We start from the raw sequence: 17,044 nt of genomic DNA on the forward strand, positions 1-17,044 counted from the left end.
AAAAGAATTGGCTTGTTACATGAGTAAATTGCAAAAAATAAATAAAGAAGAAGAATTGGCTTATACTATACTCTGTTAGGTGGCATAATTTGTTGCTCAGATTATCAAATGTGAGCAGGGTGTGATGGCTCACACCTGTAATCCCAGCACTTTCAGAGGCCAAGGTGGGCAGATCTTGAGGTCAGGAGTTCGAGACCAGCCTGGCCAACATGGTGAAACCCCATCTCTACTATTAAAAAAAAAAAAGTTAAATAAAATAAAATAAAAATACAAAAATCGGCTGGGCGTGGTGGCAGGTGCCTGTAGTCCCAGCTACTCAGGAGGCTGAGGCAGGAGAAGCGCTTGAACCCGGGAGGCGGAGGTTGCAATGAGCTGAGATGGCACACTGCACTCCAGCCTGGGTGACAGAGCAAGACTCTACCTCAAAAAATAAAATAAAAAATAAGATTATGAAATGTGAAATTTGAAGCAGTAGTTAGTAATAAGGAGAGATTTTAAGCCCTTTTGAGCTACAAGAAGTCTTTGTAAAATCAGTCTTGAAGATAACAAATTAAAACCGTAACTGCCTTTGAAATAAGTAGTAATTTAAAAAATAACTTAAATAGTAGAGTATAAGTTGTGTTTTTTGTTTCCTCATAAAAAATTCCTTGAGCACTTACTGGATGTCACGCACTGTACTAGAGACTTAGGAAACAGCAAGCGGTAAAACAAGCCCCTGCTCTCACGGCATCTAAGTGAAGGAAACACAATTAGTAAACAGATATGAAATATGTATACATGTAAGGTATTACAAGTGCTTTTAAGAAAAGCAGGATAAGAGGACACAGAGTAACAGAAGATTCCATTTTAAATATTTAAGAAAAATTAAAATATTCATGGTTGAACAGTTAATGTGATTTTTGTCATATTCCACAGTTAAATTTAGACCTTAAGGCATTTAAACTTTGTTCCTTTTGTAAGTAGTTTTGGTTGAAAGTCTTTGCTTATTTAAAATTGTATTGCTATTGCCGTATTTTCTTTGGTTGAGGTACACCACAGTCTAATTTCTTATGTCACAACATTCATCAGTTCATTAGAAAAGTATAGTCAACAGACAAAACTGTCTCACATTTATTTTAAAGTAAATATTGCTTAAGGCAATGAGAAGCCACAGACTGAAAATATTTACCAAAAAAAATTATATGTATATTTCTGATAAAGAACTGTTACCCAAAATATACAAAGAACTCTTAAAACTCAACAATAAAACATACAACCCAAATAAAAACTGAGCAAAAGGGGGCCGGACACGATGGCTCATGACTATAATGACAGCACTTTGAGAGGCTGAGGCGGGCATATCACTTGAGGTCAGGAGTTTGAGACCAGCCTGTCCAACATTGCGAAACCCTGTCTCTACGAAAAATACAAAAAATTAGGCGGGTGTGGTGGTGCACCTGCAATCCCAGGTACTCAGGAGGCTGAGGCACGGAGAATCGCTTGAACCCAGGAGGCGGAGGCTACAGTGAGCCAAGATCGCACCACTGCACTCCAGCCTGGGCAACAGAGTGAGGCTCTCTGTCTCTCAAAACAAAAACAAACAAAGAAACCCACTGGGCAAAAGACCTGAGCAGACACCTTAGTAAAGAAAATACACAGACAAGCCAGGCGTGATGGTGCACGCCTGTAGTCCCAGCTACTCTGGAAGCTGAGGCAAGAAGATAACTTGAGCCCAGGAGTTTGAGGCTGCAATGAGCTATGACTGTATCACTACGCTGCAGCCTGGGCAACAGAATGAGACCCTGTCTCTTTAAAAAAAGAAAAAAAAAGAAAGAAAAAGAAAAAAAGAAAGAAAAGAGGAGGAGAAACACAGATGGCAAATAAATAGGTGAAAAGATACTCCACATAATATGTCGTTAGAGAATTGCAGATTAAACAAGGAGAAACCACTACACACCTATTAGAATGATCAAAATCTAGAACATGGACAACACCAAATACTGGTGAGGATGTTCAGCAAAAGGAACTCTCATTCTTTGCTGATGGGAAAGAAAAATTGCACAGCCATTTTGGAAGACAGTTAAGCAGTTTCTTTAAAAAAGAAATACATACTTTTTATTTTCTAAAGAGATGGGATCTTACTATGTTGTGCAGGATGGTCTCGAACTCCTGAGTTAATGTGATCCTCCTGCCTCAGCCTCCCAAAGTGCTGGGATTATAGGTATGAGCTGCCATACCCAGCCTACGAAATACATTCTTGCCACACTATCCAGCAATCACTCTCCTTGGTATTCACCCAAATAAGCTGAAAACATATCCACACAAAAACCTGTACAGGGATGTTACACCAGCTTTGGAAGCAACCAAGATGTCTTTCACTAGGTGAATGGATAAGGTGTGTACATCCAGACAACAGAGTATCATTCAGCACTAAAAAGAAATGGAAAAACCTTACATTACAGGTTGAGCATCCCTAAATCAAAAATAGAAAACACAAAATGCTACAAAATCTGAGACTTTTTGAGCAACCACATGACACTCAAAGAAAATGATCACTAGAGTATTTCAGATTTTGAATTCATGGATTAGAGATGCTTAACCAGTATAATCCAAATATTCCAGAATCAAAAAAATCTGAAACCCAAAACACCTGTGCTCCCAAGCATTTCAGATAAAGGATACTTAACCTGTACTAAGTAAAAGACGCCAATCTTTAAAAGCTATACACTGTATTTCAACAACATGACATTCTAAAAAAAGACAAAAACTATGGAGACAGTAAAAATATCAGTAGCTGCTGGGAGTTGGGGTAAAGGGAGGGATGAATCAGTAAAGCCCAGAGAATTTTAAGGCAGCGAAACTAACTGCATGATCCTATAATGGTAGCTACATGTCATTATACATTTATCTAAACATCAAGAATGAACGTTAATGGAAACCATGGACTTTGGGTGATAATAATGTATCAATGTAGGCTCAATGCTTGTAACAAATGTATCATTCTGGTACAGGATGTTGATAGTGGGGAAGGTTCTATGTGTCAGAGCAGAGAATATAATAATTCTCTGTACTTTCTGCTCAATTTTGCTGTGAAACTAAAGCAGCTCTAAAAAAGTCTTTTTTTTTTTTTTTGAGATGGAGTCTTGCTCTGTTGCCAGGCTGGAAGTGCAGTGCTGCAATGGCTCACTGCAACCTCCGCCTCCCACGTTCAAGAGATTCTCCTGCCTCAGCCTCCCGAGTAACTGGGACTACGGGCGTGCACCACCATGCCCAGCTAATTTTTGCATTTTTAGTAGAGACGGGATTTCACCATGTTGGCCAGGCTGGTCTCGATCTCTTGACCTCGTGATTTGCTGGCCTCGGCCTCCCAAAGTGCTGGGATTACAGGCCTGAGCCACCATGCCCAGCCAAGTCCATTTTTTAAAAAAGTAAATATTGTCTTCAGCCAAAAAAGGTAAGTTCTTTTTATTAAAGAGATACCAGATAAACCACTTACTGACACTTGTATCATTTATTTTTAAATATTTTCAGATATATGACTTTATTGCATACCACTGATTTGATAAATTTTTGTATGTGCAAAAGATAAAAACTTTATTTAGAAAAAATAAAATATATATGCAAAATGATAAATGTATTTTTATGAGTCAGTAAATTTTTTAAAATTTCAAGTCATAGAAGGTGAAATTTTAGGATGAAAAAAACGCTAAAAAGGTGAATACAACCCACAGATTGGGAGGTGTGATTTTTATTAACAAAGGATTAGACTATCTACAAATTCTACAAATCAAAAAGAAATGGACAAACAGGCCAATAGAAAAATAAGAAGAAAATATAAATAGGCAACTTATAGAAGAGGAAATATGAATGAACAATTAACATGAAAAGATGCTCAATGTCAGATGGGCGTGGTGGCTCACGCCTGTAATCCCAGCACTTTGGGAGGCCGAGGTGGGAGGATCATGAGGTAAGGAGTTCGAGACCGCCCTGGCTAACACGGTGAAACCCTGTCTCTACTAAAAATACAAAAAGTTAGCCGGCATGGTGGCACATGCCTGTAGTCCCAGCTACTTGGGAGGCTGAGGCAGGAGAATCGCTTGAACCCAGGAGGCGGAGGCTGCAGTGAGCCAAGACTGCGCTATTGCACTCTGGCCTGGTGACAGAGCAAGACGCCGTCAAAAAAAAAAAAAAAATCCTCAACATCACCATCGGTTAAGAAACACAAATTTAAAATCACGAAATACCATTTCACATCCATCAGATTAGCAAAAGTTTTAAAATCTGGCCATACAAAACATAGGAGAGGATATGAAACATACACCATCTCCTATATAGCTTGTAGGAGTGTATACTGATATAACACCTTTAGAAAGCATTTGGCACATACCCTTCAACTTGGTAGTTCACTCCCTAGCTCTCACATGTGCACAAAGATACATGGAAATGTCATATTAACACTATGAACACAGTGTTCATTTTTCACAAAGAAAAATAGGAAATGAATATCCAGAAGACAATGGATAACTGCAATGAAGTATTTTCTTATAATGAATTTCCAAGTAGCACAAAAACTTTGAAAATAAAACTAAAGGAATGTGTCAATTTGGTTGAATCTCACAACACTAGAAGAACACGTCCAACAAAAGAGCAGCTCTTTCAACTTAAGTTTAATATGTATCTATCTTAAAATGTAAAAGAAATTATCCTCACTTGTAAAAACCAATTTGCCTTCAAGACCATAAATATCAAGATCTCAAGTCTTTTTTTTTTAAGAGACAGGGTCTCTGTCACCCATGCTGAAATACAGTGACACAATAATGACTCACTGCAGCCTCAACTCCTGTGCTCAAGCAATCCTGCCTCAGCCGCCTGAATACCTGGGACTACAGCTGGGCATCACAATGCCTGGCTAATTTTTTTTTTTTTTTTTTTTTTTTTTTACTTTTTGCAGTGAGTGGGTCTCCCATTGTTGCCCTAGCTGGTTGTGAACTCCTGGCCTCGAGCAGTCCTCCCGCCTTAGCCTCCCAAAGTGCTGACATTACAGGCATGAGCCACCACACCTGGCCTCAAATCTTTATCTCCAACCTAGATCTCTCTCAGAGCTTTCAGACTGCCTAATGAACATCTCTACCTGAATGTACCATGCATAACTCAAAAACGGGCATCAAATTCTCCAAAAATCTGTTGTTCTCTCTGTGAGCAGCAACACCATTCACAGTTGCTCAAGACATAAATCTAGACATCATCCTGAATTCCTTCTTCCTCATGCCCCATATCCAAGCAATCACAATGTCCTATTATCATTCTACCTCCTAAATACCTTGATGCTATCTCACTCTTATCTCCACTAACTACCAAAAGCGGACCATCATTTCTTCTCACCTGGATTATAGCAACCACCTTCTAAAGGACTCTCTTGCCCCAATGAAGTTAATGACGTCGACACACTGCAAGTACCATGTTCTTTAAGAAGCATAAATATGATCAAGAAACTGTCAACAGCTGGGTACAGTGGCTCACACCTGTAATCCTAGCACTTTGGGAGGCCAAGGTAGGAGGATTACCTGAGCCCAGGAGTTCAAGGCCAGCCTGGGCAACATACAGAAACTCCATCTCTACAAAAAATTTTAAAAATTAGCCAGGCATGGTGGTATGCACCTGTAGTCCCAGCTATTGAGGAGGCTAAGGTGGGAGGATCGCTTGAGTCTTGGAGTTCAAGGTTGCAGTGAGCCACAATCACACCCCAGCCTGGGTGACAGAGGGAGATCCTGTCTCAAAAAAAAAAAAAGATAGTATCACCTACTACTTAATATTTTTCTATGGCACTCCACTATCCTCAGGTTACAGTCCTTAATGTGACTCAAAAGGCCCATGATCTGACCCTTATTTAAAACGCCTCCGTCTTCCACATCCTATACTTTTCCTGCATTTGGGCCTTTGGACTTACAGTTCTCTCTGCCAGAAGCCCTCTTCTCTTCTTAAACTGTACTTCACGTTGGTAATTCCAAATTCGTCTTTCACCTGTCAATTTAAATATTCCTTACCTTAAGAAGCTTTCCTTTCCTATGCAAGACAGAGGTCTTTCTCATCCTCTCCCACAGTTCCCAGGATTCACTTAAATTATATCACTTACACTGTAATTTAAGTGTCCATCTGCTTTTCAATAATCCCAATATGACAAGCTACATGAGGGCAGAGACAGGAGTCTTGCTCACCATTAAAGCTGCAAAACCTAGCTCAAAGGATTAAAAGGTAGAATTTCCTTCAAAAAGGAAGAAACTGCTGTTTTGTTGTTCTTGCCAGGGCAGGGGTGCGGTGGTACCATCACAGCTCACTGCAGCCTCAAACTCCAAGGCTCAAGTAATTCTCCAACCTCATGCTTCAGCCTCTCAGGTAGCTGGGACTACAGACACACGCCTCCACACCCAGCTAACTTTTCAATTTTTGTAGAAACAGGTCAGGCTATGTTGCCCAGTCTGGTCTCAAACACCTGGCCTCAAGCAATCCTCCCACCACGGCGTCCCCAAGTGCTGGGATTACAGGCATGAGCCACCGCACCCAGGCCAAGTAACTGCTCTATCAATTTGCCATTAACTTGTTTCAGGTCCTTGCTCGGTCTGCCTTAAAACGCAGCTTCAAGATTGTTTATAATAGTTGCTTAACTATTAAAGAGATAAACAATAAGTCCAGATAAAAACACTGTCCTACATAAGTGTTTTGTAGTGACTACCACACCCTAAATATTATATATGGGGCTATTCAAAAATATTGAGACACTATATAATAACATGGAGATGCTTGCAAGAGACTGTATTGTTTTCTATTCTGTTTCTTTGCTTCAATTTCCTTTTTTTATGATATTAGCCCATTTTCTACTGAGGTAGTATCAGCATAAAAAAATGTTTAGCTGCCTTATCGAGACAAAATTCAAATACCATACCCATTTGAAGTGTACAATTCAATAGTTTTTAATATACTCAGAGTTGTGCACCCATCACCCCAGTCTAATTTTAGAACATTTCATCATCCCAAAAAGAAATCCCATACCCATTAGCAGTCACTTCCCATTACCTCTTTCCCTGCGCCCAGCCCTAGGCAACCATTAATCGACTTTCTGTCTGGGTAGATCGGCCTATATGCAACATTTCATTCAACTGGAATTGCAGGACATTTTTCCGTGCTCTCCAAATACATAGGATTTGAAAGTTATTTCACTTTTTTTCAAATATTTTCCTATCTTTCACTTACTGGGGGAGAAGAAATTTTTTCTTTAAGACTAGTTAAATGCAGTAGTGAGAAGAGGGGAAGGAGCAGAACAAGGAGATCAATCTGTAACTGACTGAACAATCAACTGAGATCACTGACTACCTTCAGACCAGCCAGGGGGAGGGGTAATATTTTTATATAGTAAAATCTATTTCAAGGCATTTGTCTTTGGTGTCATGCTTAGACAGACTGTCCTGGTCCCAAGCTAGCATACATTTTCATGTATATTTTCCAATACTACATTCACAGCTTCAATTTTAACATCTAAAGCATTACTCCATCTAAAATTTATTCTAGGGAAATGTATGTAACCTACCCAAACAGCCAGTTGTCTCTCATTATTATCTAGTAACTATCCTTTTCCCCTTGATTTTAAATAACACCTTCACCATTCTCTAAAGTCTTACATACATCGGAGTCTGTCTTTGGATTTTTAAAACTTCTGTTCATCTGTCTGTTCTAGGATCAATCTCTATACTTCAACAATACATTTTAAAGTTTGATATGGGACATTGTCCTCATTGCTCTTATTTTTCAAAATCTTGGCTAGTCTTGCATGTTTGTTCTTTTATATAAACTTTAAAATGCTGACTGACATTGCATTTATATTTATACATTAGAAAGAATTTATACTTTTGCAATGTCGAGTCTTCATGTAACAGATATGATTCCTTACTCATATTTCCCCCTTTCTGTCAAGTTTTATAGTTGTTTTATAAATTATGAAGTCCTATAAATTTTATGTTAATTTCATTTCTATTTATAGTTTTTGTTATTAATATAAATGGAATTTCACCTCTACTTATTTCCTATCTGCTTACTGGTATAAAGTTCCTAACTTTATTTAATGTATACACACGCTTGGAGGACTTTTTGAATTATTTTATTCATTTTCATTATATCTTTTTCTTGTTCTGTTTTGTTTTGGTTTTTTTGAGACGGAGTCTCACTCTGTCTCCCAGGCTGGAGTGCAGTGGCGCAATCTCGGCTCACTGCAAGCTCCGCCTCCCGGGTTCACGCCATTCTCCTGCCTCAGCCTCCCAAGTAGCTGGGACTATAGGCGCGTGCCACCACACCCGGCTAATTTTTTGTACTTTTAGTAGAGATGGGGTTTCACCGTGTTAGATGGTCTCGATCTCCTGACCTCGTGATTCACCCGCCTCGGCCTCCCAAAGTGCTGGAATTACAGGCGTGAGCCACTGCGCCCGGCCTGCAATTTTGTTTTTGTTTTTGAGATGGAGTCTTGCTCTGTCTGGGCTGGAGTGCAGTGGCGCCATCTCAGCTCACTGCAACCTCCAGCTCCCAGGTTCAAGTGATTCTCCCGCCTCAGCCTCCCAAGTAGAAGGGATTACGGGCACGAGCCACCATGCCCAGCTAATTTTTTGTATTTTTAGTAGAGACAGGGTTTCACCATGTTGGCCAGGCTGGTCTCCAACTCCTGACCTCAAGTGATCCACCTATCTCAGCCTTCCAAAGTGCTGGGATTACAGGTGTGAGCCGCCGCACCTGGCCCTATTGCAATTTTGAATGATTTACTTGTTCTATAGTGATAGAATAAGGAATAGGGTTATAGACAGCCAATGGAAAACTATGCCTTGCCTTTTTAACCATTAGGTTAAACAGAGGAAAGGACTAAAAATCACTGTGCTTTATTATTATCTGTTTATATATAATGAATTATATGTAATTCAGCCTGATAATTCTGAGACCTTTAGAACAGTGGTCCTTAAAGGTTCACATCAGAATCACCTAGACAGCATTTTGAAAGTATCTATGCCTGAGTCCTATTCACCTCTAGAAGTTTTCATTCAGTAGGTCTGGGGCAGAGTCCAAACAAAGGCATTTTGGAAGAAGCTCCTCAGGTGATTCTGATGTGCATCGCCTATTTGACTTCTCAAATGATGAAATAAACATTAAAATAAACCAAATGAAAACATTCATAATATAGAAGGCAAAGATCTTGACACAAAGTCATCCGTTATCTTTCTTAGGATCAAACTCTACCTTCATAACAGTGTCTTACTTTTACCTCAATGATCACTACTAGCACCTGTCGCCAGGATACAGCTGCTGCGTTCAAACCAAAAGAGATGCCATTGTTTGTATTTGTTGGAATCATAGGAAAGCAGTACTAGTAATGCATTAGTGCTGTAGTCATAGGAAAGATTACATACTGCTTACACAATAGCTGATTGATGAGCAAGAAATCTCCTCTACAATAGTTGCTGTACAATTGTGAGTGGTGGTTTGAATTAAACAGTTTTGTAATTTGTACGGAAGTTTTCTATTGTCACAGTTAGTTTTCTTCCATACCTAAAAGATTTGAGTTTTTAAATGAATACTGTAAAAGCAAGATTTTTGTTTTAATTTCCTTTCATACTTCACCTGGAAAGATTATTTCTAAATACCTTAAAATATGTTCTTTTCAAGAGATTCAGAAATATATAGTAAGTTATTCTTGCTATGAATTCTTTTCCTAACCAAATATTTAGAAACAAGTTCCTTTGTTATATACATCTTGACACTATTATATAAAGAACATTTCTGCTATTCTGTTATATCCAAAATGGAAGTTTTGGATACCAGACAACTTTCACATACAAGTTAACCTTCCAGTTCATTTTTTGTGTATCGAAAAAAAATGAGGTATCAGAGGTTATGTTTTTTAACCTCTTATGAAATGAATCAAGACACAAAAACAGAGAAGTGTATAATGTACTCCCTTGTACCCAATACCTAGTTTCAATGATCAGAACTTTGCCATTCCTGCTTCATATACTCCTGTCCCTTTTTTTAACTGATGTATTTTAAAGCAAATCCTAGATGCTGTATTATTTTATTGATCCTTAACAGATAAGATTTTTTAACAGAGCCTCTTTATCATTATCACACATAATAATAACAAAAAATCCTTAATGTCTCACTCTCATTTCATGATTGACTCTCCCTTACTGTCTCTGAAAGTATTTTTACACTTAGTTTTCCTCAAGGTTGTATCTTTTTGTTCCATATTGTGACATGCTAAAATATTTTGCCTGAAAAGTCCATTTTGTTTTCTTTTTTATTTAGAGATGGAGTCTTGCTCTGTTGCCCAGGCTGGAGTGCAGTGTGCGTCGATCATAGCTCACTGCAGCCTCAAAAGTGATTCTCTTGCCTCAGCCTCCCCAGTAGCTACAGAACTACAGGCATGCACTACTACACCTGGCTAATTTTTTTTTTAATTTTCTGTAGAGACAAAGTCGTGCCATGTTGCCCAGGTTAAAAGTCAATGTCATATGTACTATGCAAATCTGAACATGTCACATCTCTTTAAGAGCTTCTCACTATGTTTTCTATGATGAGCCTCCAAAATCCTTAACATGACATAAAATATCTTGCATGATTTGGCCCTTCTTCAAATCCAAGGCCTCAGATACGACTGAGACTTCTCCTAGGCTCCACCATAATCCAAATTTTTCATGATTTTTAAATCATTCCAATGATATGATGAATTAAAAGAAACAGGAATGAACAGCTGGCTAAATGTAATGAAAAAGCAACCCACTCCATGAACCTTGATGGAATACTGATTCAAAGGAATAAAACTAGTAAAATTAGTCATAAAGGACATAACAGGCACAAATGGGAACATTTCAACATGAAATTATTTTTAGTGTTATAAATGTGGTTATGTAGGAGAATGTCCTTATTTTTACGAGCTGCAGGTCAAACTTTCAAATGATTCAGAAAAAAAAAAGTACATGTGAGATGTATTTTATATACCTATTATACATGCATGTAAGATAAAGAGATAGAGACACACATAAAGCAAATGTGCCAAAATAGTAACAACCGGTAACTCTAGATGAAGGCTAGACAGATGTTCACTGTACAATCCTTTCTTGGATCTGTTAATTGTACAAGTATTTCGGCCGGGCATGGTGGCTCATGCCTCTAATCCCAGCACTTTGGGAGGCCGAGGCAGGCGGATCATCTAAGGTCAGGAGTTCCAGACCAGCCTGGCCAACATGGTGAAACCTCATCTCTACTAAAATTACCAAAATTAGCCGGGTGTGATGGCAGGCGCCTGTAATCCCAGCTACTTGGGAGGTTGAGGCATGAAAATCGCTTGAACCTGGGAGGTGGAGGTTGCAGTGAGCCGCAATCGCACCACTGCACTCCAGCCCAGACAACAAAGTAAGACTCCGTCTCAAAAAAAAAAAAAAAAAAAAGGAGTAACTATTTTAAGTTTTGCAGGCCCTACAGTCCCTGTTCCAACTACTCAACTCTGCCGTTGTAGCAAAAAACGCAACCATAAACAATATGTAAATAAATAAGCATGGCTATATTCCAATAAAACTTTATTTACACACACTGAAATTTTATATAATTTTCATGTGTCATGAAATTTTTTTTAAAACTTTAAAATGTAAAAACTTAGCACACATGTAGAAATGATGATATAATTTGCAGGGACTATTGACAAAAAAAAACAATGGAGCCTCTTGTTTAAAAGTTATTAAGAATTTCAAAATAGTAACAGCAGAGAACCAAACCAAGCACAGGGCCTTTCTCAGGGTGGGTCCCTGTATGACTACATAGCATGCATATCCACAAATCACGCAGGCCATAGTTTACCAACTCCTGGCTTAGATTCTACTGAAGATGGTTCAAGATTCAGAGCAGAAATGACAGAGTTCAAATCCCCTCCTACCACTTAATAGTTGTGTTCTCTGTCCCCTAGTATAAATAGCATATATCTCGGAGTTGTGAATAAATGATTTAATATATATAAAATACTTAGAATGGTCATATGTGTGTGTGTGTGTGTGTGGTGTGTGTGTGTGTGTGTATATATATATATATATATATATTTTTTTTTTTTTTTTTTTTTTTTTTTTTGAAACAGAGTCTCGCTCTGTCACCCAGGCTGGAGTGCAGTGGCGTGATCTCAGCTCACTGCAACCTCCACCTCCCTGGTTCAAGGAATTCCCCTGCCTCAGCCTCCCAAGTAGCTGGGATTACAGGCGCCTGCCCACCATGTCCAGCTAATTTTTTTTGTATTTTCAGTAGAGACGGGGTTTCACCATGTTGGCCAGTCTGGTCTTGAACTCCTGACCTCAGACAATCCGCCTGCTTCGGCCTCCCAAAGTGCTGGGATTACAGGTGTGAGCCACCGCGCCCGGCCAGTTTTGACTACTTTTTAGTCAACTAAAAAAATTTTAAGACCAGGTGCGGTGGTTCACGCCTATAATCCCACCTGGGGAGGCCAAGATGGGAGGATAGCTTCAGCCCAGGAGTTCAAGACCAGCCTGGGCAACACAGTGAGATTTCGTCTCTACAAAAAATTTAAAAAATTAGCTGGGCACAGTGACACACACCTGCAGTCCCAGCTATTCAAGAGGCTGTGGTGAGAGGATCATTTGAGCCAAGAGGTCAAGGCTGCAGTAAGCCATGATTGTGCCACTGCACTCCAGCCTGAGTGATAGAGTGAGACCCTGTCTTAAAAAAAAAAAAAAAAAAAAAAAAAAAAAGGTTTTAAGAGTTGATTGCTTGCAGTGAGCTGAGATCGCGCCACTGCACTCCAGCCTGGGCGACAGAGCGAGACTCCGTCTCAAAAAAAAAAAAAAAAAAAAAAAAAAAAGAGTTGATTGAGGTAGCAGGATATCAAACACATTTTTTAAATTTGCTATACAACTAAAAGTATCATCTGAATAGTTAAGTGTGTCAAAATGTTTGTGAAATTAAATATAACATTTCCTTAGAGCCCTCATATAAAAATACCCTGGTAGCTTAGACTAGTCAGAGTCTCTCAAGAATTATGACAACTACCCATCAAGACTTAACGATTCTGGACTGACTTAGTTACTACATTGTAAAAGGAAATTTAAATAAGACCCCAGGTGTCATATATTACTTATCGTTTTGCAATTCATCAATTGTACAATAACAGAAAAATTCCTCAAATAAAAATTATAGTATGTTATGTGAAAATGGAGAATGTATAACTATTTTAAGAAAGTACTTATTGGTAGTAAAAGCCTGTTGCCTATCTACTGTGTGCAAGAAATCGTGCTCAAGAACAAAGGAATAAAAAGACATGGTGGTCTGTGTCCCAAAAAGTTTACCATCTAAAAGTGAATATAGGATGGGATCACATCAGTTTTTAAAGTAAATTACACAAGGCTGCACAGCAATGCCAGCCCTATTTAACAACTCTACCTCAGTGTCTACTAGGTGTCTCAAACTTAACATGTAAAAAATATAACTCTTGACTTTTTTCCAAAAAAAACCTATTCTTCCCTTGTCTTCCTCTTTATCAATAAACAGAATCTCCATCCACCCAGCTGCTAAAGCCAAAAATGCGATTTTTTTATTCTTCTAATTCCCTATAAAAAAATTCAACATCAACTCTTCTTGATGCTATGAAAAAATGTTCTCAACTATCTCCCAAGTTGTCTCTCACCTGGCCCAGCCTGATAACTAGTTTCCTACAATGGCTTCCTGCGTGGTCTCTTTGCATTCACTCTTCCCCCATACAGCCCATTATCAAACAGTACTCAAAATATTTTTAAAACATAAACCTTATCTCCCACCACTGCTAAAAGCTTTCTAATTGCTTCCTATTGCACTAACCATAACATCCAAACTCATCACTACAGATGAATTATAATGCCTAACATGACCTCATCCTTGCCTACCTCTGATCTTAATTCTTAACCATCCCTTCCTCTTGCACACCCTGCTCCAACCCTATCGGCCTTCCTTCCGTTCCTTGAAGATCAAGCTCCTTTCTCCCTGAGGCTTTAATCTACAAGCTTCTCCCCACAACCACCACCACCTGCTATCCACCCTTTCCTACCCATGACTCCAGTGGTCAAACCTTGCATTCCCAACAGGAAGACAGGCAAACATCCTGGGTTTCCAGGTGGAGATGACACAATGCATCATCACCAATGAGTATTCGTGCCAAAAAAGTTTAAACTGTATCTGTCCCAAGGAAACAATCAGAAAAATTCAGGAAGGGGGCCATTCTAAAAGATAATTAGTCTAAACTCTTCAGAAAAGCAAGTAACCTAAGAGTGTTATCAAATTATCAATAATCTAGAGAAGCAGGGTATCAACACATCTAAAACAGGATTAAGCAGTATTATGTCACAACAACTTCACAGAATATACGATGCAGTCTTTTTTTAGCCATAAAACCTTCCTGGCTAGTTCTACTCTTCCCCTTTCTCACTACGGCAACTGAGTAGTCCAAAAAAGAAAAAAGAAAAAACTTCCTAACAATATTAAACATTTATACTATTAAATTAAAAATAGCAAAGCCACCAAAATTTGCACTATGATTATAAGGTCATATGTAAACCAATGAGCACAGATTAGATCTTTGGCAAGATTACAAATCAGTGTTGAGACTTTTGAGGATATTGGGATGGGGTGAATATGTTTTGCATGTGGAATAGAGGTGAATTTTGGGGAGCCAGGGGGTGGACTGTGGTAGACAAAATAATGCCCCCCGCCACCCGCCCCCACCAAGGATGTCAACATCCGAATCCTCAGAACCCGCAAATACGTTAGGTTACACGGCAAAGGGAAATTAAGGTTGCTATCATCTGACCTTGAGATTGGGAGATTATTCTGGAATGTCAGCCCAACATTATCACAAGGGTCCTTATCAGTAAAAGAGGAGGATAGAAGAGGGAGTATCACAACCACTGCTGGCTTTGGAGATGGAAAGGGGCCATGAGCCAAGGAATATGGGCAGCCCTTTGAAATTGGAGAAGGCAAGGTATAAAAAACTAAAATAAAGGATTCTTCCCTAGACCTTCCAGAAAAGAATGCAGCCCTGCCAACTGGCCTTTTATTTTAGCCCAGTGAGATCTGTATCAAAACTGTGATCTCCAGAACTGTAAAATCATTTTGTGTCGTTTTAGGCCACTAAGTTTGGGGTAATTTGCTATAACGGCAATAAAAAGCTAGTCATCCATCATTTAACAAAGGTGATACCTTCTCGGAGGTGCACTGTTAGATGACTTCTTCACTGGGCAAGCATCACAGACTACAAGCCACCTCGACGGTGTAGCCTATTACACACCTAAGGTACAAGGTATAGCCTATATGGTTCCTAGAATACAAACCTGTACAGTATATTACTTTACTGAATACTGTAGGCAATTGTTAACACAATGTTATTTGTGTATCTAAACATATCTAGGCCGGACGCAGTGGCTCACTCCTGTAATCCTAGCACTTTGAGAGGCTGAGGCAGGTGGACAGCCTGAGCTCAGGAGTTTGAGACCAGCCTGGGCAACATGGCAAAACCTCATCTCTACCAAAAATACAAAAAGTTAGCCAGATGTAGTGGTGTGCACCTGTGTTCCCTGATAGGAGGCTGAGGTGGAAGGATCACTTGAGCCTGGGAGGTGGAAGTTGCAGTGAGACAAGATAACACCACTGCACTCCAACTTGGGTGACAGAGTGAGACCCCATCTCAAAAAAAAGAAAAAACAGGTGCATTCAATTATATGTGCTTGTGTCTGTATGTATACATACACACACACAGATGCATATATATATATATACACACACACGTCTAAAAGATAATTAGTCTAAACTCTAGAAAAGTAACATAAAATTGTTACCAAATTATCAATAATCCAGAAAAGCAGGGTATCAACATGTCCAAAACAGGACTAAGCAGTATTATGTCATAACAACTTAATAGAATATATGACACAATCTGTTGTTGACTGGAATGTGACTGTATATATATACATACATGTATACATATATAGTCATAATTATATGTATGTATATATGCAGTCATATATATAGGTATATATATTATATAGATGTATATATACAGTCATACATAGGTATACATACATAGATATATATACACTCATATATATAGGTGTGTGTGTATATATATATACACACACACACACACTCATATATATAGGTCTATACATATATATACACACACAGTCATATTCCAATCAACAGACCACAAATACAACAGCGGTCCCATGGGATTATAATATCATATTTTTACTGTACCTTTTCTATGTTTAGATATGTTTAGATACACAAATGCCACTGTGTTAAAATTGCCTACAGTATTCAGTACAATAACAAGCTGTACAGGTTTGTATCCTAGGACCCAGAGGCTATATCATATACCCTAGATGTGTAGTAGGCTATACCATCTAAGTTGTGTAAATACACCCTATGATGTTTACATGACAAAATCATGATGCATTTCTCAGAAGATATTCTCGTCATTAAGTAACACATAACTGCAATTAAACACACACATGCAGGAATATATTATATACTCACACAATGGGTAATATCAAAAGGTGATATTACCAAATGCTAGCAAGAATGTGGAGCAACAGGAACACTCAAATATTGTTGGCAGATTTATAAACAGTACAATCGCTTTGGAATAATGCTTTGCAGTTTCTTATAAACACGTTTACCCCTTGACACAGCAATTCAACTCCTAGGTATTTATCTTAAGAGAAATGAAAACCTACCGTAAGAAAATTTGTATAAGAATGTTCGTAACAACTTTATTCACAATGATCAAACAATGGAAGCAATCTATCCATCATCAGGAGAATGAATACATTATGGTACATTCACAAAGAAATACTACACAGCAGTAAGAATGAACTAGTGACACTGGCCAGGTGCAGTGGCTCACACTTGTAATCCCAGCACTTTGGGAGGCTGAGGTGGGTGAATCACTTGAGGTCAGGAGTTCGAGACCAGCCTGGCCAACATGATAAAACCCCATCTCCGCTAAATA

The 17,044-nt window shown here is 38.7% G+C and overlaps 1 protein-coding gene across 13 annotated transcripts in view; it reads right to left on the bottom strand.

Moving 5' to 3' along the window:
• Positions 1–17,044, bottom strand: part of ACAP2 (ArfGAP with coiled-coil, ankyrin repeat and PH domains 2) — a 168,276-nt gene that overhangs the window by 137,442 nt on the left and 13,790 nt on the right. Inside the window, exon 2 of one of the 13 annotated variants that reach the window (XM_047447835.1) lies at positions 660–730. The exons of the other annotated variants lie outside the window; for them this stretch is intronic. The gene's annotated coding sequence lies outside the window, so the exon portion shown is untranslated. The remainder of the gene's footprint in view (positions 1–659; positions 731–17,044) is intronic. 13 annotated transcript variants of the gene reach the window in all.

Source organism: Homo sapiens, chromosome 3 (assembly GCF_000001405.40).
Source record: "Homo sapiens chromosome 3, GRCh38.p14 Primary Assembly".
NCBI lineage: Eukaryota > Metazoa > Chordata > Mammalia > Primates > Hominidae > Homo > Homo sapiens.